Below are 20,513 nucleotides of genomic sequence, written 5' to 3'. Positions count from 1 at the left end.
GTCGTGGCAGGAATTAGGCTGAAGACTCTAGCCCTGAGCAGGGTGGGTAGTGGGAGGGAGCGAGGGGTTCAGCCCGGCCCAGGCCTGGACAGGGGGACTGAATGCAGGGCCATAGGAGAGAAGGCATCTGGGGTTCTGAGTTTGATGCCACTGACTGGAGCAGGGAAGGAGCAGGGGAGGTGCCGGTTCACAGGGAGAGATAATGAACTGGGCTTTGGAGCTAGCTGGGCTGGGAACAATTAATCTGCCCAGAGAGGGAGGGCGCCTGCTTTGCTGGCTGGGCACCTGCGAGGCTTCCTCTGAATGTCCCTCTAATCGGCTTAGAGATTTATGCAAATCCAGGTGTGCAGGCGCCCTGATTGGGCTGTGCAGGAATTGTCCAGGCCACCTGTCCTCCTCTTCCCACAGCACCCTGGCCTTGAGCTCCTGCTCCCTGATGAAATCCCCCGGCCAAGGTGGGGTTTTAAACATAATTAGGACTCGAGCCAAAGGGGATTTCCACAGGAAAAAGTGGGTAGGGCACAGGGACCAGGCCACCCAGCCGCTTGGAGCAGGACGCGAAGGTTGCTTTCAGAGTGAGGAGCAGAGGCCCTCGCGGGGAGGCCAGAGCCCGGACCTGCTGAGACTGAGCCCTGATCCCAGGCACATACTGGACTCTGACTCTGGTTCCACGCTGACCCCTAATCCATAACCCCTGTCACAGACTGAGCCCTGATCCTGGACAAATTCTGAGTCTTCACCATGGCCACAGAGACCCCTGTCCCTGGTCACAGGAGGAGCTGTGATCTCTCTCACAGGCTGAGCCCTGGTCCTGCTCACAGACTGAGAGCTCATAGGTTAAAGACAGAGCCTTCATCCCGGCCATATTGAGCCTTGATATGGAGGCCGGTGGGTGGAGTATTGGCCAAGGTCTGAGGACCAGCGCAGAGTGGCTGGATGGCCCTTCTCTCCAGACTGAGCTCAGACCGGGGCCATACTCTGAGCCCTGACCCTGGCCACATGTTGAGTCATTTGGATGCCATGGGCCCTCCTGGCTTGGACATCTGGTGGTCCTCTGGTTCTGCAACCAGGGTTGAGAGAACAGCATTTCTCTACCACTGTCATCACAGTCACACACTATTATGGCACTCGTTTAGGTGTGTGTCTTCCCAGCCAGCCAGTGTGCCCCAAGGAGGCCTCACACCCATCCTGTTCATCAGCTGTCTCAGTCCGGGTGTGCTGCTATAACAGAAATACCTTAAACTGATAACGGCTCATGAACAACAGACATTTAATGCTCACAGTCCTGGAGGCCGGAAGTGCAAGATCAAGGTGCCGGCAGATTTGGCGTCCGGAGAGGGCTGCCTCCTGGTCCACAGGCGGCCGTCTGTCGGCTGTGCCCTCACATGGTGGATGGGGCAGCTCTCTGGAGTCTCATGCTATAAGGGCACCAGTCCCATCATGAGAACCCACCCTCGGGACTCCACCTCCTCCCGAAGCCCCACCCACCCTCAGGACTCCACCCACTCCTGAAGTCCCACCCACCCTCGGGACTCCACCCCTTCCCGAAGCCCCACCTGCCCATCCCATCACTCGCGTTGGCATTTCCACTTGTGAATTCTGAGAGATGCAAACATCGGGAGGCAGCACCCGGATGCCCCTCGAGGCTGGCACAGAGCGCGGCTCCCTGGACGCTCGTGGAGTGAACGGATGAGTTGATGGTCTCTAAGCCGGTATTCTTTCGGTAAAGAGGAAGTTTTGTCTGATGACCCATGAAGTCCACATCCTCGTCAAGATAAAGGTGGGATCAGTTAGGAGATGAATTCATGCTGCATGGAAGCAGGGCTCCCAGTAATGACTCAATTCCACAGTCAGTGGAGCTAGATACGGGGTATGTGTGGGTGATGGGTGTGTGTGCACACACAGTAGGTGCCTGCACGGTGGGTGTGGTGTGTCTGTGTGTAGGTGATGGGTGTGTGTGCACACAGTAGGTGCCTGCACGGTGGGTGTGGTGTGTCTGTGTGTGGGTGATGGGTGTGTGTGCACACACAGTAGGTGCCTGCATGGTGGGTGTGGTGTGTCTGTGTGTGGTGATGGGTGTGTGTGTGTGTGTCTGTATGGTGGGTGTGGTATGTCTGGGCATGTGTGCATGTCTGTATGGTGGGTGTGGTGTGTCTGGGTGTGTGGGTGTGTCTGTGTGGTGGGTGTGGTGTGTCTGTGTGTGGGTGATGGGTGTGTGTGTGTCTGTGTGGTGGGTGTGGTGTGTCTGGGTGTGGGTGATGGGTGTGTGTGTGTCTGTATGGTGGGTGTGGTGTGTCTGGGTGTGTGTGTGTGTGTGTGGTGGGTGCGGTGTGTCTGTGTGTGGGTGATGGGTGTGTGTGTGTGTCTGTATGGTGGGTGCAATGTGTCTGGGTGTGTGTGTGTGTCTCTGGTGGGTGTGGTGTGTCTGGTGTGTAATGGGTGTGTGCGCATGTGTCTGTGTGGTGGGTGTGGAAATGTCCAGGTGTGTGTGACATGTCCAGGTGTGTGTGACGGGGGTGTGTGTCTGTGTGGTGTGTCTGGGTGTATGGGATGGTGTGTGTGTCTGTGCAGTGGGTGTGATGTATGTGTGATGGCTGGGTGTGTGTGATGGGGGTGTGTGTCTGTGTGGTGTGTCCGGGTGTATGTGATGGGTGTGTGTGTCTGTGCGGTGGGTGTGATGTGTGTGATGGGTGTGTATGTGTGTGTCTGTGCAGTGGGCGCGGTGTGTCCAGGTGCGAGTGGTGGCTGCTCAGGGGCTAACAGCAGAGCCCAGCAGGTCAGGGAAGGGCCTGAGGGGATAGCTACAGGCTGGCTTCCTCAGGGGTGGGTGGACGGGGAGACAATAGCCTCTGCACACTGAGCTGGGCATCAGCGGAGATGTCATTTCAGGTCATTCTTCTCTTGGGCATCCTGTCTGAGCCCAGCTCCTTCACTGAGGATGGCATGGGTGGCGGTCCAGGGCACCCAGACGCTCTAGCTTCACACGGGCTGCGAAGGCCTGGGAAGCCGACCCTGAGGCGCTCGAGGGGACTTTAGTCCTCTGTCTGCTAGGCTGGTGATGCCCAGCTGTCTTTGCTGGCACCAGGAGCCGTGTGGGCCACAGCACGAGGGTGGCTGGTTTGCTTTCAGTGCTTTTTATTTGTCTTTGATAAGAAATCAACAAACACCCATGGTATAAACCTTAGAAGATGTTGAAAAGCATAGCAGAAACAGCAATGACTCATCATCCCAGCTCCACCCTGGAGGTAAGATTTCAGGGCTGCCCATATGGCTACGCACGTTGTTCACTGCACAAAGGGGCTGAGAGAGGAGGCAGTTGCACCCTGCGGTCCGTGCAGCCGGCCTGGTGGCTGGGGTCTGCATCCCAGGGCTGTCCGCAGGGAGGTGGTGGCAGTCCATGGTCCCCGGGAGGATGGGTGTGGGCTCTGCTCATTTCGATGTGCTTCTTCCAGGCTGCTCTGTAGCCCTCAGCCCTTCTGGACACACAGTGTGCACACACCTGAGTCTCTCCGTAAATGTAGAAAACGGCGTACACGCTGCGGTGGGCAGCGGCCTTTCTCATTCAGTAGCTTACAGTCCTCTGTGGATGGCCTGACTTCTTCCCCACTCCCCTCCTGTTAATCGGCACACTGTCTCCAAGGGCCTGTCATGACAGATTCTGTTGTGATAGCATCCCTGTTCATGAGTGGTTTCACCGTCCTCATTACTGCACGGAGACAGCTCGCCAGACACCCAGCTGCAGGACCTGGGGCCTGGCAGGCTTTTGGGGCTAATGCTACATACGTGGGGCCCCGGTGTCGCTCAGGCTGGCCAGAGAAACAGAACAAGTGTGAGATCTCCAGGAGACAGCAGCATCTACAGGAGATGGAGAGATATATACAGGCTGTATATGTACACACGGAGAGGGGAGGTTTATTTTAAGGATTTGGCTTGTGCGACTGTGGGGGCTGGCAAGCCTGAAGTCCAAGTGAGGGCTGGAAGCTCAGGCAAGGTTTCCATGTTGCAATCTTGAAGCCAAATCCCTTCTTCTCTGAGAAGCCGCAGTCTTTGCTCTTAAAGCCTTTAGCTGACTGTATGAGACCTGCCCGCCCCGGGGAGGTCATCTGCTGGATTCATCAAAGTCCGCTGGCCATACATGTGAATCCCGTCCATAAAGTACCTTCCTGGCAGCATCCAGAAGTGTGGTGACCAAACACGTGGGGCATCATAGCCCGGCCCAGCCCAGCTGCCACCTTCAGTGACCCCTGGCGGTCCCTTCGAAGGGCGTTCATACCTGTCCACACACCTGCAAGTGTTCATCTTGATACACATGCACCTGTGCTGAGTGTGGGTGGGACTTGCTGTTTTAGTCGTGATATTGAGATCAAGAGAATTTGAACTTCCTGTCACATGTTTCTAGGGCATGAGGAATGTGAAGAGCTCAGTGAGGTCAGACCTCTATGGTGGCCCTGGGCTTGAGAAGAAGGAAGGAGGCTCTAGAAGGGAGGCAGGTGACACCTGGCCACCTGGCGTGGCCTGGTCCTCAGGCTCTGGGCACCAGCCAGCCTCACTTTCCAGGCCTTTCCACATTTCTGCAGCCCCCAGGAAGGGGCTCTATGCTCACAGGGCACCAGCCTTGTTGGGGAGGGGGGTGCAGGGTGGGGTTTGGAATCAGGCAGATTTGGGTTCCTGATCTCGGCCTGAGGTTGACCAGCTGTGTGGCCCCTTGAGCAAGGTCTCACCTCGGTCTTCAGCCATAGGACAGGTGGTTCACACCTGCAGGTCCTCGGCCAGTGGCCCCAGGTGGGCAAAGCTGTTCTCTCCATCCTCATGATGTTGCCATGGTTGCTGATGGGCGTGTCCTACCCTGCATGTCGTGGGCATTTGGGACCTGCTCCACCGTGCCTGTGAGTCACCTCATGAGTTCCAGTCCTCCTAGGAGCTGGCAGACCCGTTCTTGTCTCACCAGGTCTATGGGGCACGTGAGAGGTAGCAAGGGGCCGGGTACAGATTGCAGGCTTTGCAGATGTTTTAGTGAATGGGTGGATAGTGCCAGCTCAGCAAACCCAGGCCCCCACTCCCTCCCACCTTTCACCGCAAAGCTCACCCAATTTGCTGTGAAAGTGGTTGGAAGGGCGGGGTCAGATCCTATAACATCTCCTCACTGACTCAGCTTACCCAGGCAGTTGCTCCATCATTAACCCAGGGCATCATGCTCTTCCAGCAACCACAGGGACCACTGGCACTCCAGGCCGAACCCACATTGACAGTGACTCGGCAGCTGCCAAAAGTCCACTCAAGACATTTGGCTTATGAGGGACGGACAGCACGTGGCACATGCCATATGCCACACGCCGACTCCCTAGCCCCCCAGCAGCCTCACTCTCCTTCCCACGTTTCTGTCAGCCCTGGCTTGAGATCTTGAAAGCCTCCTGATTCCTGCTCATAGTCCAATCACTGGAGGCTGTGTGTGTGTGTGCGTGTGTGGGTGAGTGTGTGTGTGTGTGTGTGTGTGTGCGCGCGCGCATGCGTGCGTGTGTGTGAGAGAGAGAGAGTCCCGCCTTTGTTGACAACAAGTCTAGTTCATTAAATAGCAATACGCATGCCGTGGAGGGGAGGGTTGAGGTCCAGGCTTCAGGCCAAGGCCCCCCAGCGTAGGCTGTCAACCACATGACATGTGACCTTGCAGTGTCCTTGGCAGCTCTGTGTTCCGCCATCCTTGCTTGAAACACTGGGCTCTAGGACTTCACTGACAGGAGTCGCCAGGATCAGACACAACACCATGAAAACACTGGGCCTGGAGCAGGTGCCCGGAGCCGCCGAGGTGGACTTCCTTCCTGCTCTTTCTCTCTAATTTCATTAATTCCTCATTGAACAAGTCATCCATGAATACATTCTCTTGTAAACAATTTAAAGCTTCCCCAGAAGGCTGGAGACCCCCTCCAGAGCTCACCCTGCGGTGGCTGCGGTGTGCCCTCTGGGGCCCTTATCTGCGCATCACACGGTTGGATGCCCCCACAGGACGTGCGGGTGGGTGCCGGCGCTTCGCGGGCGCTTACATCCGTGGCCTATGCCGTGCAGGTCCCCGCACGGCTCCTGCCTTCCTCCAGCAGTGTGTCTGGACGCTTATTCCCAGCAGGGCTGTGGAGCCATCGCTTTCGGCGGGAACCCTGCCTGCTGTCCCACAGAAGGGCTGTTGCTTTTGGCGGGAACCCTGCCTGCTGCCCCACAGAGGAGCCAGCTTGACTGGCTTCCTCCTGGTGCTGGGCATGCATGTGGCTCCTGAGCTTTGTGGTTACAAGCGGTGCCGTGGCGGCATCTCCATCCTCACCTCTCGGGCACACACGTGGATTTCTCAGGGGCAGACACGGATGCAGAGAAGTAATCGCTCAGTCCCGGGTGATCATTGTCACCGTAGGAGAGGCTCCCCGACTGCACTCTGCAGCTGCCATGAGGATTGAGTCCACGTCCATCTATTTCATGGCTGTGTCCCCAACACCCACTTAGTGTTCAGCAAATATTTATGGAATGAATGAACACAGAGATAAATGAATGATTTGTTTTCCTTTCAACAGCAGTGTGCTCCACACCCCCACATCTGGTGCTGAAGATGAAATGTGTCCTCACACATGCATACGGGCTGCGGCCGGGTTGGACAGAATGGTTCTGGGAAAAAAAAAAGTTTTCTTTTATTTCCATATAAAATAAACCAGGCACTTATCAAACAGAACGCGGAAGCCCCTTACCTCTTAGTAAATGTTCTCAAACATAGCACGGGTTGTTTTTATATCCCCAGACCCGGGACATTAAACACGGCATTAATGATGTGGTCCCAGGGTTAGGCTAAAACACCAGAAGGAGATGTGCGTGCAGAGTGTCAGCCCAGCTCCAATGCTTCCTTCCCACGGCTGTGATTTAGTGTTATGTCCCCGGCTTTTATAGAGGGATATAATATGAACATCCATTTGAAGAATGTCATGCTGTCTTTTGCAAAACTATAATCTCAAAGATGTCCACGCTGTGGGAGAAAGTTTCCTGTGAGAAGGCGCATGGCATAAATCCCTCCTAAGCATGCTGCCCTCCAAGACGCACACACAGGCTCCACATTGGCTGTGGGGTAAGACACGCCTGGTTGCAATCCCCAGGCACACCCTGCACATGCCGTGCAACTCTGCACTGGTCCATTAGCCTCTGGTGACCCCAAGTCACTTCACAGTGGGGACAACACCAAGCTCAGAGCCCATCTCCAGACACAGTGAGTTGAGGCTTAGGAACCACCTCTGCAGAGTCCTGACCTCCTCCTGGAGACTTCCCGATTCATCAGTCCCAGGGAGCCACAGCACCTAGTGAAGGAAAGAAGCGCTGGACTCAGCCTTTAGGTGTGCACAGCACCCTGGGCTCTGGGAGCCACGCCTCCTGCATTTCATTGTCCTGCCCCAGTCCCCCTTTGGGTGGTCTCTATCCTGCACAGGAAGAAAGAGAGATCCAGGGAGGCTGAGTCCCTGCCCGATGCTGCCAGTCTCTCTGGCACAGCAGGGTCGGGACCTGACTTGTGTTGCTGGCTTGCACTTGTGGACTGCAGCGCCACCAGCCACAGCAGCCCCGCTGGCCACGTTTGCTCCCTCCAGGGGCCATCTCAGGACGTCCTGCCCCAGCTCAGCCAGCCTCCAGCAGGGTTTCTTCCAAGTGGCTTCAGGCTGAAGGGTGAGCCGGGCAGGGCACAGGCAGAGAGGGCCAGAGGAGGAGGCGGCTGGGGGCTGCGGTTCTGGCTTTGGGGAGAGGTCACAGCAGTGCTCAGAGGATGGTCAAGGCAATTGTTTTAATGTCATGCATCGTTGCCTCAGGAGCGCCCTCTGGGAGGCCACTCGCTCCCGGACCACTTATGAGACTCCTATAACTTTGACGATGGATTAGGTGGAAGTGCCATTGATCGGAATCTGGAGCAGCTGGTGTCTGGTCGTTTGCCCAGTGTCTGGATGCTGTGGTCCCCAGGCCCTTTTCTGGGCCCTGCACCCTCGGCTTCTCACTCAAGGCCTCTTTCCACTCTGTTTTCTGAGCCACCAGTGCTGCCGGTCAGAGGCAGCACTGACCCAGCAGTGGCCGAGGAGAGAAGAGCGCAGAACAGAGCCTGGCTCCGATGTCAGCTGCCACTTGCTAGGGTACACACAACTCAGGCACCCTGCTCACCTCCGTGGACAATGGCCAGAGAAGGGCCCAGAGCGGGGAATGTGGAGTTCCACTGGGTTTGCTCCCACCCCCACTGGGCAAAATCCATAACCTGGTCCATGTCCTGGAGAAAGTCACGCCCACTCTCTGTAGCCCCGCCCACCCAAGAGGCCCCGCCCATTTCCTGCAGCCCATGCTCCCCACACCAGGCGATGGGCTGCTCCTCCCCTTTTCTTCTGGCTGCTGAGAGACACTCTGCATTTTGCCCTTTTTGGAAGGCTCTGAAATGAATCAAAAGAGACTCTGAGGTCACTGAATCCACAGCTAGACACCCTCTCCCGTGCTCCCATCCTGAAGGCTCCAGTTGCTGGGAGCACACAGCCCGCCCAGAGGCTGCAAGAGAGCCCAGGCACCACATGTGACCCAGGGCTGCAGCCCCCGCTGTTTTTAGGGGCTTAGGTCTGGGAAACCTGGGTCTGAGGTGGGTCTGCTCCCAGCAAGCCAGGCACCGACTGTGTAAGTCGAGAACCCTCGGGGCCTCTGCCGCCCGCGTTGCAGAAGCTGCAGGGTTTTCTGCGTTCCTCCCAGCAGGGCCTGCCTGCTGAGGCACCTGCCCAGGTGACTGTCTGTGGGCCCTTCTGGGTACACTGTGTACCCCTTCTGGGGTGCAGCCACAGCTGCCTGTGCCCGGCGCTGCTTGGGCCTGCTGAGGCCTGTGCCTGACGGCCTCTGAGGGGGTAGGAGGAGCAAGGCCCCGCACCTTCCTGAGGCTGCACAGCTTTCTTAAGCCCAGGCCAGCCCCATCAAAGCAGCCCCGGCCTGTGAACAAAGCGGCCCCCATGATAGCCTGTCCTCCACGCTGAAGCCTGACTCCCTGGAAATCAAAGCACGCTCGCCCACTTTTATTGAGATTGTAATCCCAGGAGGCAGCACAAGGGAGAAAGGAAAGTGAGGCTGCAGAAAGGTCAGGCAGGCAGGCAAGCAGGGTGTCTGAGAGCTGGAGGCCAGGCCGCTCCAGGGAGGCCACGGAGGCCTGCATCCCACCCACTCCTCCAGAGGGCAAGTCCCCTGCCTCCGAGAGCCCCTCGTCCTGTGTCGACGCTGCTGCAGGACGTCAGCTCCGGTCTGGCCGCCTGGCCTTCCCGTGTCCCCTGGTGATAGGTGGGGATGCACCCGGGGAACAGGTAGAGCGCCTGCCTTGATTGATTGCCTTGATTGACTGCCCGGGCAGTGCTGGGGAGCAACACCTCCTGTCTGCAGAATGAGGAACATGGTGGGAGCCAGGAGACCTCAGAGGAGCCTTGGAGACATCCAGAACACCATGGCCGAGCCAACCGGGGATGCAGAACCTGGGTCCCTCCTGCCTGGTCCTTACCGGAGCCCTCCCTGGGCACGTTTATCCCCGTCCCAATACCTTCTTCCCTTGTCATTTCTTAATAGTCCTGATAAATAAACCAAATGCTGGGGTCCCTAAGAGGACCCAACCAAGAGCACCCCTCTTCCTTCCCAGGTCCTGAGAAATTGAAAAGATTTTGAAATGCAGTGACAGGTTGGCCCCCAAATATCACCTTCAGTACTGGAGGATGTGGCTTTGGGTTTGTCAGCCAAGGGGACCACTACCTGGCCCCTTGGCTGACAAATGAATGAGGGACTCCCAGCAGTGACAGCACGCCCCCAGAATGAGGGCCCCCAGCATTGACAGCACCCCCCGACACATCGGAGAAGCCCCTGGAGGAGCAGTGGAGCGTGCAGGCTGCCTACGGGGCCTCGCCTCCGAGGGAAGCCCCATTTATTCCCCAGCGCACCCGCCAGATGCACACTGATCCTCTTCGGGAGGGGCTGAGGCTGGGGTTGCTGCCTCGGTGGGGTCCCCTTCACACAGAGGGAGCCTCAGGCATAAAAACAAGCCCCCCAGCAGACATCACCACTCCCTCTGTCTGCTCACCCACTTCCTCAGCCCCAGCCCTGCCTGGTGCTATATTTGGCTCCTGCCCCTCTGCAGACCTCTGCCCTCTTTGTCTGTCCTGGGCTGTAGGGACAGCTCCCAACCAGCTGAGCTGGTGACGCACAGCCGCTCACCCAGTGCCTGCTGACCATCTCCAGCATGTGAGGACCCGTGGCTGATCCCCTCAGCACTCATTTCTGCAGCTGCCAGGGTCCGCCAGGCTGGGGCCCCCACGCTGAGTTAGCCTCTCCTTTTGCTGGGCCCCCGTGAAATGGTGGCACTCTTAGTCATGGATGATGTTCACTTATTTGCCATCCCTTCCCCAGCCCTGGACCGTGCCAGGTACTGGGTCTTACTCATCTCTGCGTCTCACTGTGTGACACAGAGCGTGCTGTTGATGCTTGTCAGAGCACATTTCTCAGGCTCCCGGGAGACACGGTTGAGCAGCAAATGAAAGGACATTGTCCTGCTGCAGGTGCCCAGGTGTCAACGGCTCCCAGGATGGAGAGCTGGGGCTCCAGGGTGTCACTGTCCTGATGTTCTAGAGACACAGGCAGGCTGGCTCCTGTCTGGCTGCTCCCCAGGGGCTGTCACACAAGCCGTTTATGGCACTGTGATCATGAATGGGGGTCCACGGCTGGCTGGTGGGTGTTTAGAATAGCCTTCCCAAGAGCTCCCCTTGGGTGGAGTGTCATGGTGGTTAAATGCGTGTATATCCTGGTCTGCAGGGTCCCCTGGGTCCTGGGTGCTGTCTCGGATGGGCTGTCCTGGAAAGACCAGCAGACCGTAGCATGGCCGCATGACAGGTGCATGACCCCATGCCAGGTAACACGACTACATGCCAGGGACCTGACCCCACACCGATGGCACATGGGACCCCATCTGCGAGGGTGGGTGAGGTGTGTGCATAAACACAATACCAGCTGGGAGGGTCTGGGCACTGCAGGAGAGGGGCCCAGTTTGGGTTCCCCCAGAAGCGGGCTGCATGGCATGGGTTCAAGTTGGGGTCGTTTATTTAGGAAGTGACATCAGGAAATGCAGGTAGCGAAGTGGGTAAGGGAGGCAAGAAAGGAGCGGCGGGCAGCAAGGGTAAGCTGTGTCGCCAGTCATGTGGGGGCCGGGGGTTCCACCCCACAGGGAATGCTACCGGACAGCAGTGCTGAGCACGAGGTGGCTGGGGAATCTCCCACTGAGGAGTGAGGGAGGGAGCTGGGGTGTGTACGCACCCCACCCTGAGTTGTGGCTGAGGGGAGCTCCCTGGGGGTGTCTCTCCCAGGCATGTCTGCAAAGTGGTTCTGGCTGGAAGAAAGCCTCGTGCAGAAAGATGCAGATACAGGGGATGGGAGTTGAGGGGAGCAGAGAGGATAAGGATGGGGAGAGTGTTATGGGCTGAATGGGGCCCCCAGGAAAACATGTCCACATCCTAATCCTCAGAATCTGTGCCTGGGCCTTATCTGGAAAAAGGGTCTTTGTAGCTGTAATTGATTAAGAAGGAAAGAGAGGGCCATGTGGAGACGGAGGCAGAGATTGGAGGATGCGGCCACGAGGCAAGGAGTACCTGGAGCCACCAGAAGCTGGAAGAGGCAGGAGGAAGCCTGCCCTCAAGCCTTTGGAGAGAGTGTGGCCCTCCTGGCACCTGGATGTTAGACTTCCAGCCTCCAGAGCCGAGGGAATCAACGTCTGTAGTTTAAAGCCACCCAGTTTGTGGTCGCGTGTTTTGGCAGCCACAGGCCACTCATGCACGGGCCAGCGGGCACTGGCAGCTCTTGCCACAGAGAGCCACATGGCGTCTGGGGAGGAGACACTCACTCGACCCAGAAGGACTTGGAGCAAGCCTGGAGGTGGAGCTGGCCTGGGCCCTGGGAGCTGTAGGGGGAGCCATGTGACAGCCAGCCAGGCCCCACCCAGAGGGTCTGAGTCCCAGGCTGAGGGGCTTGGATGAAGCTCGGTGTCACTGGGAGCCATGGGGGCCAGAAGCAGGAGCAGTGCCTGGGGTCCGTCTTGAGGCATCTTCTGGGTAGAAATGGTTTCCGTTAAAGCCAGACACTCAGCCAAATGAATCTTCATTTAATCCTCATTCTGGGCCTGGTTCCTGTTATTATGCCCTATTTGTAGCTTAGGAAGTAGACTCAGAGATGTTCATTTCTTTGCTGAGATCACACAGCCTGTAGGTGCCAGGGCCGAGGCTGCTGCTGTGCTCTCTGCTGTGGCCACGCCAGTGGCTCTGCTGTGCTCTCTGCTGTGCTCTGCTGGGCTCTGCTGTGCTGTGCTCTGCTGGGCTGTGCTGTGCTCTCTGCTGTGCTGTGCTGAGCTCTGCTGTGCTCTCTGCTCTGCTCTGCTGGGCTCTGCTGTGCTGTGCTGTGCTCTCTGCTGTGCTCTCTGCTGTGCTGTGCTGTGCTATGCTCTGCTGTGCTGTGCTCTCTGCTGTGCTCTCTGCTCTGCTGTGCTCTCTGCTGTGCTCTGCTGTGCTCTCTGCTGTGCTCTGCTGTGCTCCCTGCTGTGCTGTGCTCTCTGCTGTGCTGTGCTCTCTGCTGTGCTGTGCTGTGCTCTGCTGTGCTCTCTGTTGTGCTGGGCTGTGCTGCTTCTCGACAGCTGTGGAGGATGTGGACCGAGGGCCAGGCAGCTCCTTCTCCTCCTCACTCAGAGGTCCCGGAGGAGTGAGCCAGAGGCAGAGGAGCAGACATGGGGAAGCGGGAATGTTGGCTTCAGTGCTGATGGAGCTCCTTGAAGCCGCAAGCTTGGAAGGGCAGGTGGGTGGATGGTGGGCTTCTATGAGCCCACACACCCTGCAGATGACTACCTTGTCCCCAAGGACCCTTGGAGCCGTGGAGCATGCAAACATCAGGGGGACAGGAGGCTCTAAAGAGAGCACCTTCTCCCAGATCTGACCTCAGCACTACCCCTCGTTGTCCCTTGGGAAGGGACAGGGAAAGGGGTGGAGGGAGCCTGGAGTTTTGCCACAGGAAAGACCTCAAGGACATGAGCCCAAGCAAGAAAGCCCCCCAGGAGCTCTAAGTGGAAACCCAAGACTTTCGTTTGATTGACTGATGGAAAATTCAGTTTATTAACTGAGAATAAAAGCTGAGAACTCATCTAAATAGTCACGAGTTCCTGAGGAATAGAACCAGGAAGGCTGAGCTCTATGGGATGCATCGCAGCATGACATGGATGCCGAGGGCCTGTGTATCCTGGGCTCTTCTTGCGTGCTTTCCCGATGGTGAGCTCATTACCAGCATCACTGCCCATGTCGCTGGTGGATGCTTCATGCTGGTCTCTGTAACATCCACCCTTTTGTGGCGGTTCCTTCCTCAGAACCCTCAGGATTGGCCTTCTTCTTTCCCCTCTAAGAATCCCTGTGCAGTTGAGGTCCAGGTGGTTTCCGTTAGTTCTGTTAGTGCAGTGACAGCCTGTTGTATTCTGCTGCTCAAACACAAACACGTGGCCAGCAGTACACATAACCGAAGCGGTCCTAGCCCCTTCCTCCCTCCCTCAGGCCCGACAACATCTGCCTGGAGATGCGGCTCCCTCCAACCTGTCCTTATCCACCAGGCTTGTTTCATGGACCCTTTGCCATCCTGGTCAAAGTCTTCACAACGCCCTGTTTGTCAAGGCCCCCTCTTAAACTGTGGGTCCTAGAACTGCACCTTGGGCTTCAGGAATAGTTTGGGCAGCCTTGGAGTCAAGCTGCATTCTCTAAGGCTTGGACAGGAAGGGGCTGAGCACCTCTTCTGGGAGGGGAAGCGACGCCCCTGGAGGGGAGGTCCCTGAGGATTCCTAGGGGCCCACAGAATGGTGCACTCTGTGTGGGGGAGGGGCAGCCACCCGTTGCCCTGGCCTGTGGAGAGCGCTTGGTGAGTTGAAGCTGCCATCAGAAAATCAGGTTGGAAGCCAGAGGAAGCTGTAAGTTTCGTGCAATTTCATGCTCAGCGGGGCTGACACATGCACGGGGAATTTGGCATGATGGATGGGCCCGGTGGGTGCCGTTGAGAGCCATGGAGCTCATGGGAGCCAAAGGCCTGGGCCAGCATTGCTGAGCAGACCTCGAGCTTCTCCAGTTGGGCTGCCGCCATGCCAGCCTGGCCCGTTAGCACTCACAGATGGTCTCTGCGATGGTGAGCATGGCAAGAGACAGGCAGGCGCCACGTGTGAGCCGGGTGAGGGATTCCAGCAGCACTTATGGAACAACCACCAGGCTCTAGCCCTGAACGAGGTGCTGCAGGCGGAAAAGACAGGTGCTGTAGGTATCCCAGGGGCACTCAGACCAGCTGGTGGGACCCCAGGGCCAGTTCTGCTCTCATTGCACCCTCTACGTTGCATCGAGCCTGTCTCTTCTGCCTCTGCCATCAGCCTGGACTCATCCGAGTCCATCACCTGCAAAGCTTCCCCTGCTGTGGAAGGCTTCATCTGTGTCTCCTCAGCAAATGCACCGTGCTGCCTGGCACACAGTGGCTCTTCTCCAAATGCTTGCAGACTTGAGCTAAGCATGGGGGTGGGGGTGTCGGATCAAATAGTGCCCCCCCCAAAATTCATGTCCACCTAGAACCTCAAAATAAATGTGACCTTATTTAAAAATAGGGTCACATTACAGATGTAAGTTAAGATGGGGTCACACAGGATGAGGATGGGCCCTACGCCCAATAACTGGTGTCGTTAAAAAGAAAGGAGAAGAGACACAGAGACAGCGACGTGGAGGGAGAAAAAGGCTATGTGAAGATAGAAGCTGAAGTTGGAGTGAGGCAGCCACAAGCTGGGGACGCCAAGGCAGTCACCTGCGACCACCAGAGGCTGGAAGAGAGGCCTGGAACACATCCTTCCTCAGGGGCTCCAAGGAACCACCTTGCCCACAACTGCACTTCAGACTTCCAGCCTCAGAATCCAGGAGGGAATACACCTCTGTGGCTTTAAGCCACCAAGTCTGTGGTCATTTCTTCTGGCAGCCCTCAGAGACTACAGGGTGAGGAGGACGTGAAGACCCTGGGAAGGAAGTGAGAGTCACGGTGTTGATCATGAAGGGCTGAGCTCTGCATGTGACAACAACCCCACATCTCCATGGCTTAAGCCATAGCGGTTTCCTCTCATGCCCTCATAGGTCAGCAGGGTGCATGGCTCACCAGAGCCACTCAGGGACAGGCTGGCAGGAGGGCTGCACCCCGAAAGTCTGCACCTCCAGAGGAGGGCATGGTGCACCAGCAAGTTAACGTGGATGCTGCCAGGAGCACATCCTTTCTGCACAGTGCTCCTTGGCTACAGCCAGCACATGGCTCCACCTCACCAAGAGGGAGACAGAGGGAGGTCTCCTTTGTGCTTAGAAGGGGAGGGGACCTTGGAACCAGTGACAAGCATTGACATCCACCACAGTCACCAAGGACAAAAACTATCCTGGTCTCAGGACCTCTCACCTGGGAATCCCCATGACACACTCCTCCCTGCATCCATCCACAGTGCAAGGCTGTGGAAACAAGTGTGGGGGTGGCTTTGAATCCTGGCCTGTCACAACCCTCAGCACAAACTAGTCTAGCTCTGATTCATTAGCACTGGTGAAGGAATGAAGGAAGGGGAGAAGGATGGGTGGTGACGGATGGATGGATGGATAGTGGGCGGACTGGGGATAGATGAATGGATGGATGGATGGATGGACGGATGGGTGTGTGAGTGAGGGGATGAATGGATGGATGGATAGTGGGTGGACTGGGGATGGATGAATGGATGGGTGGGTGGGTGGGTGGATGGGTGGATGGATGGATTGTGAATGAGGGGATGAATGGATGGATGGATAGTGGGTGGACTGGGGATAGATGAATGGATGGATGGATGAATGTGTGAGTGAGGGGATGAATGGATGGATGGATAGGGTGGACTGGGGATGGATGAATGGATGGGTGGATGGGTGGATGTGTGAGTGAGGGGATGAATGGATGGATGGATAGTGGGTGGACTGGAGATGGATGAATGGATGGGTGGATGGGTGGGGGGGTGAGTGGATGGTGGATGGGTGGGTGGATGGATGGATGTGTGAGTGAGGGGATGAATGGATGCATGGATAATGGGTGGGTTGGGGTTGGATGAATGGATAGGTACACGGGTAGATGGTGGGTGGATGGGTGGATGGATGGGTGGATGAGTGGATAGTGGGTGGATGGGTGGATGGTGGGTAGATGTGTGGACAATTGGGTGTGTGGATGGATGGGTGGGTGTGTGGATGGATGGTGTGTGAATGAACGGATGGATGGATGGTGGGTGGGCAGATGATGGAGGAATAGATTCATTTTTGTTTATTTTGTACCACATGTTTTCATGAATTATGTAATTTATCCTCGTGGCCCCATGTTATCATGGTTTCTAATGGACAATCAAGGAGGCTGAAGTCGAGATGCCTAGCTGGTGTTTCCAGGGTCTCACTGGAAGTGCAGGGTAACTGAGGTGGGATGTAAGCCCAGCCCATGCATGGTCAGGACAGGGTTTACAGCTGGGCTTCCCAAGCTGAGCTGACACTCAGCTCTGCCACTTAGCAGCTGCAAAATCTTGGGCAGGTGGCTTGATCTTCTAGCCCTCAATTTACATATTTTCCCATCTGTGAACAATATACTGTTCCTCATAAGAATTATTTGAGTATTAAATGAAATGTTGTTTATTATTCTGTTATCTCATGGGGACATTTTGGGGAGAAGGAAGATAGGAGGGTTGTAGCTGTGATGGCTATAGGAGACTGAGCTGGCCCAAGTGTGGACCATACGCTTCCCCTCTCTGGGGTTGGGGGAAGGGCTGGGGGAGGGTGTGGGGCGAAGTCACTTCTGCAGCCTCACGAAAGCTGCCATGGCCAGTGCTGTGACCCTGACCCATTATCTTAGGCAGGGAGGGGTGCTCTTGGGCCAAGGCTCCCAGCAGGTGCACCCAGGGGCTATGAGGCTGGACATTTTGTCCCTTCACAGCGGCCAGCAGCAGAGACTTGTGGATCCCAGGCAGGACTGAGAACAAGATGGCAGCCCAGATCAGATCCTCCCAGGATGAGCCCCAGAGGAGGGGACTGAGGCGGAATCCCAGAACAGCAAGGGACTGGGCCAACAGGTGAGAACCAAGTTCTGTCAACAGGAGATAAGGCAGCCAGGGAGGTGGTGTGGGCCAGCCCAGCCCTCACGCCCAATCCACCACGGCAGACACACAGTTGAGGCCCTGGACCACTAGAAACAGAGCCCAACATGGTGCATCTGACTAAGGGAAAGAAGCCACTCCCAAAAGGCCACATATGGTAAGATTCCGACTCTAGGACATTCTGGAAGAGGCGAAACAGCGGAGAAGATGAAAGGATCAGTGGCTGCCAGGGGCTGGGGGAGGGACGAATCAGGGAGCCCAGAGGATTTTTAGGGCAGTGACACTGCTCTGTTCGACATGACAATGGCGGAAACAAGTCCCATGCATTTGTGCAGACCCACAGAGCACGCACCAGCCAGAGTGAGCCCTGATGGAGGCTGCAGGCTCAGAGCGAGGGCGACGCCTCACTGCAGGCTCATCGGTCGTGATACTCACACCACTCGGGCAGGGTATTGAGAGAGGGGAGGCTGTGCATATGTGGGGTGGAAGGTATGTGGGGAATCTCTGACTTTTTGCTTAATTTTGCTGTGAACCTAAAACTGCCCTAAAAATAAAGTGTATGAAAACAAACAAAAGGTCAGAAACGAAGCGCTAGGGCCTCCACCTGGAACAGAAGGCCAGGGCTGGGTGTGGCTCTGGGCACAGCAAGAGGACTGTCCAATGGTCATTTCACAAGATCATCACCTTCCGCTGTCCAGCTTGTGACTCTGAGGCTCAAGGAAGGGAAGGGGAGGATCCCTTCCCCTCTGAGTCCCCATCCAGGCTCTTTCTTGGGTGCTCCCTAGCCTGAGAAGGCAGGATTCCAGCCTGGGCCAGGAGTCCCAGCTGCAGGAGAGCTGCCCCGACCGTGGTCTGCAGAGCTGGTGGCCCTGGCACACTCTCCTGGAACTCCACCCTGACCTGATCCAGGCAGGCCTGCTGCTCTCTCTATCCCTGACTCTCACATTTAGGCCAGACACCCCTTCCCTGCTGGACACCGTCCAGGTGCTGGGATGTAAAGGTGAACAAGATGCACAGAAGCCTGCCCTGGGAAGCTCACGGTCTGGTGAGGGCACCCTCCACGCACAAGGCCGCACATGCATATGCACCCACCTGATGTGTGGTGGCACGCTGGAGTCAGTGCCATGTCGGCTACCGTGTGGAAGGAGATAGGCTAACGAGGGGGCAGTGGGGAGGCCGTGCCAAGGTGGACATGGGTACGAGGCCTGAAGGCTGGTCCGACCTAGCTATCCCAGAAGCATGGGCCCAGGTCGTGGGGGTGGCATGTGCCAATGCCCCAGGGCAGAGAGGGGTTCCAGCAGAGAGGTGGGCAAAGCCAGGTCCTGGGGGTCTGGTAAGGAGCTTGGGTACAAGTCCAGGGCAGAGGAAGTCATCGATGGCCTGTGTTTCAGAGGACTCTGGCTGCTGGGAGAGTGGGTGGAGTGAGTGAGGGGCCAGCTGGAGATGCTAGGGATGATGTCACAACCCCGGGGAGGGGCGTGCATGGAGACAGTGGAGCTGGGAGAAGTGGGAAGACAGCAGAGGGACAGGGATTCGCAGGTAAGATGCTGGCGGTGGTAAGGAGAGACAAGACTTGTAGATGCCTGCCCAGGGTCCCCCACAGCAAACCTGAGACAGGATTGTGGGCAGGTGTTCTGCTTGGGAGGAGTTCCAGAGGCACTGTGGGGTTGGGAAGTGAGACCCTGGAGAGAGAAGACAGCAGAGCCCTGTCACTAGGCTGTTACCTGTTAGAAGGATCCTCTGGGATTGTGGAGAACCGGCCCTGGCACTTTCCCAACGGAGTTCTCAGGCTACCAGCCACCGTCATGTGGGTTAGCACTCTGCCATTTCCTCCCACCCAACCTAGGGAAGACCATGATCAGGAGGCCGGAGAATGTCTCAGGTAGACAGAGGGGGAGGTGAGGACGCCTCAGGTGGAGAGAGGGAGAATTAGCGAAAGAAGATGCATAGGCAGAGGGAGAGAAATAGGGGATGAAGGTGCCTCAGGTAGAGGGAGAGAATTAGGGGGTGAAGTGCGTCAGGTGGAGAGGCAGGAGTCAGCAGGACCTGCAGGTGACCTGGGAGGCTGACAGGATGTGGCTGGCCACAGGAGAATCTCCTTTCTTGCCTTACTCATGGCCCTGGGCCTCTGGCCTGAGGCTGAGCGTGAGCCCATTTCCTGGCATGGGGAAGGATGCATGGGGGAGTTTGGAAGGACAGTAAGAAGGGTGGGGTCCATGTTAGCCCCGGGGAGCTGTATTCGTCATAGCTCCTCAGAGAGGCAGAACAAATTACATATGGAGAGAGAGACATGTAAGAGGAGGTGTGTCGTGGGAATTGTCTCCCGTGACCGTGGAGGCTGAGGAGGCCCTGATCTGCTGTCTGCAGGCTGGAACCCCCAGGAAGCCCACGGTGGGGTCCAGCTCTGTTCGTGCTGTGGATGGTCAGATGCTGCCCACCCCCTTTGGTGGAGACGGGTCATCTCCACTCCATCCACGAACACATACTAATCAATCTCCTCTGGAATCACCCACGTGATCACAGAAATGACGTTTCACCAGCCGTTGGGCAGCCCTCAGTCCAGTGAAGGCGAAGCACAGGGGGACCCAGCAGAGCAGCCCAGCCCCGTCATGAGTCAGTCAGCTCTGCACAAAGCCAAAGAGGCAGCCATTCAACTCGCACCTCACGTCTGGTGCAAATCCTGTTTCGGGACACGGCTCCAGGCCCCCTTCCTGCAGACGTCTTCCCGAGCTTCTCCCATGCGAAGATCCCGGAGCGTCCAAGGGTGAGCGTGTATGTGAAGGGAAGGGCCTGTGAGGTGGGAGGAAAGTCAGGAGTTCCATATGGGGCACATCTAGCTTTAGGGGACATCAGATGCCCCCATGCAGGACAGCTGGGTGATGCATTGGGACAGCTGCTGGGACATCTATGAGCTGGAGTCATCTAGGTAGGGCCCTATGTCTTGCACATGGTCTTTGAGTATAACGTCTTAAGAATGTTTCCATTTGGGACATATTTATACTCAAACATTGTTTGAGAATAGTTTATTTGAGTATATTTATACTCAAACATTGTCAGAAAGTCAGATTTAGTGGCTGGGTGTGGTGGCTCATGCCTGTGATCCAGCACTTTGAGAAGCCAAGGCAGGAGGATCACTTGAGACTAGGAGTTTAAGACCAGCCTGGACAACATAGCAAGACCCTGTCTCTACAAAAATTAAAATTAAAAAATGAGCTGGGTGTGCTGGTGCATACCTGAAGTCCTGGAGGGTGAGGCAGGAAGATCGCTTGAGCCCAGGATTTGGAGACTTCAGTGAGCTGTGATCACACCACTACACCCTGTCTGGGTGACACAG

At 56.6% G+C, this 20,513-nt stretch overlaps 1 long non-coding RNA gene across 1 annotated transcript, besides 2 other annotated features; it reads right to left on the bottom strand.

Annotated features, from left to right (window-relative positions):
* Nucleotides 1-13,125: 13,125 nt before the first annotated feature.
* Nucleotides 13,126-18,599, bottom strand: LOC124902047 (uncharacterized). The gene is made up of 2 exons (XR_007061160.1): nucleotides 18,272-18,599; nucleotides 13,126-13,443 (listed from the first exon to the last, which is right to left on the bottom strand). It is a non-coding gene; the product is annotated as an uncharacterized LOC124902047 (long non-coding RNA).
* Nucleotides 19,226-19,726: an enhancer, noted in NCBI's record as "H3K4me1 hESC enhancer chr8:143072313-143072813 (GRCh37/hg19 assembly coordinates)". NCBI's record gives its function as "activates a minimal SCP1, AML or CMV promoter by ChIP-STARR-seq in naive H9 embryonic stem cells {active_cell/tissue: H9 hESC(naive)}" and the evidence as "EXISTENCE:reporter gene assay evidence [ECO:0000049][PMID:30033119]".
* Nucleotides 19,727-20,227: an enhancer, noted in NCBI's record as "H3K4me1 hESC enhancer chr8:143071812-143072312 (GRCh37/hg19 assembly coordinates)". NCBI's record gives its function as "activates a minimal SCP1, AML or CMV promoter by ChIP-STARR-seq in naive H9 embryonic stem cells {active_cell/tissue: H9 hESC(naive)}" and the evidence as "EXISTENCE:reporter gene assay evidence [ECO:0000049][PMID:30033119]".

Source organism: Homo sapiens, chromosome 8, assembly GCF_000001405.40.
Source record: "Homo sapiens chromosome 8, GRCh38.p14 Primary Assembly".
NCBI classification, from domain to species: Eukaryota; Metazoa; Chordata; class Mammalia; order Primates; family Hominidae; genus Homo; species Homo sapiens.
This window is presented reverse-complemented; position numbering and strand designations above follow the sequence as displayed.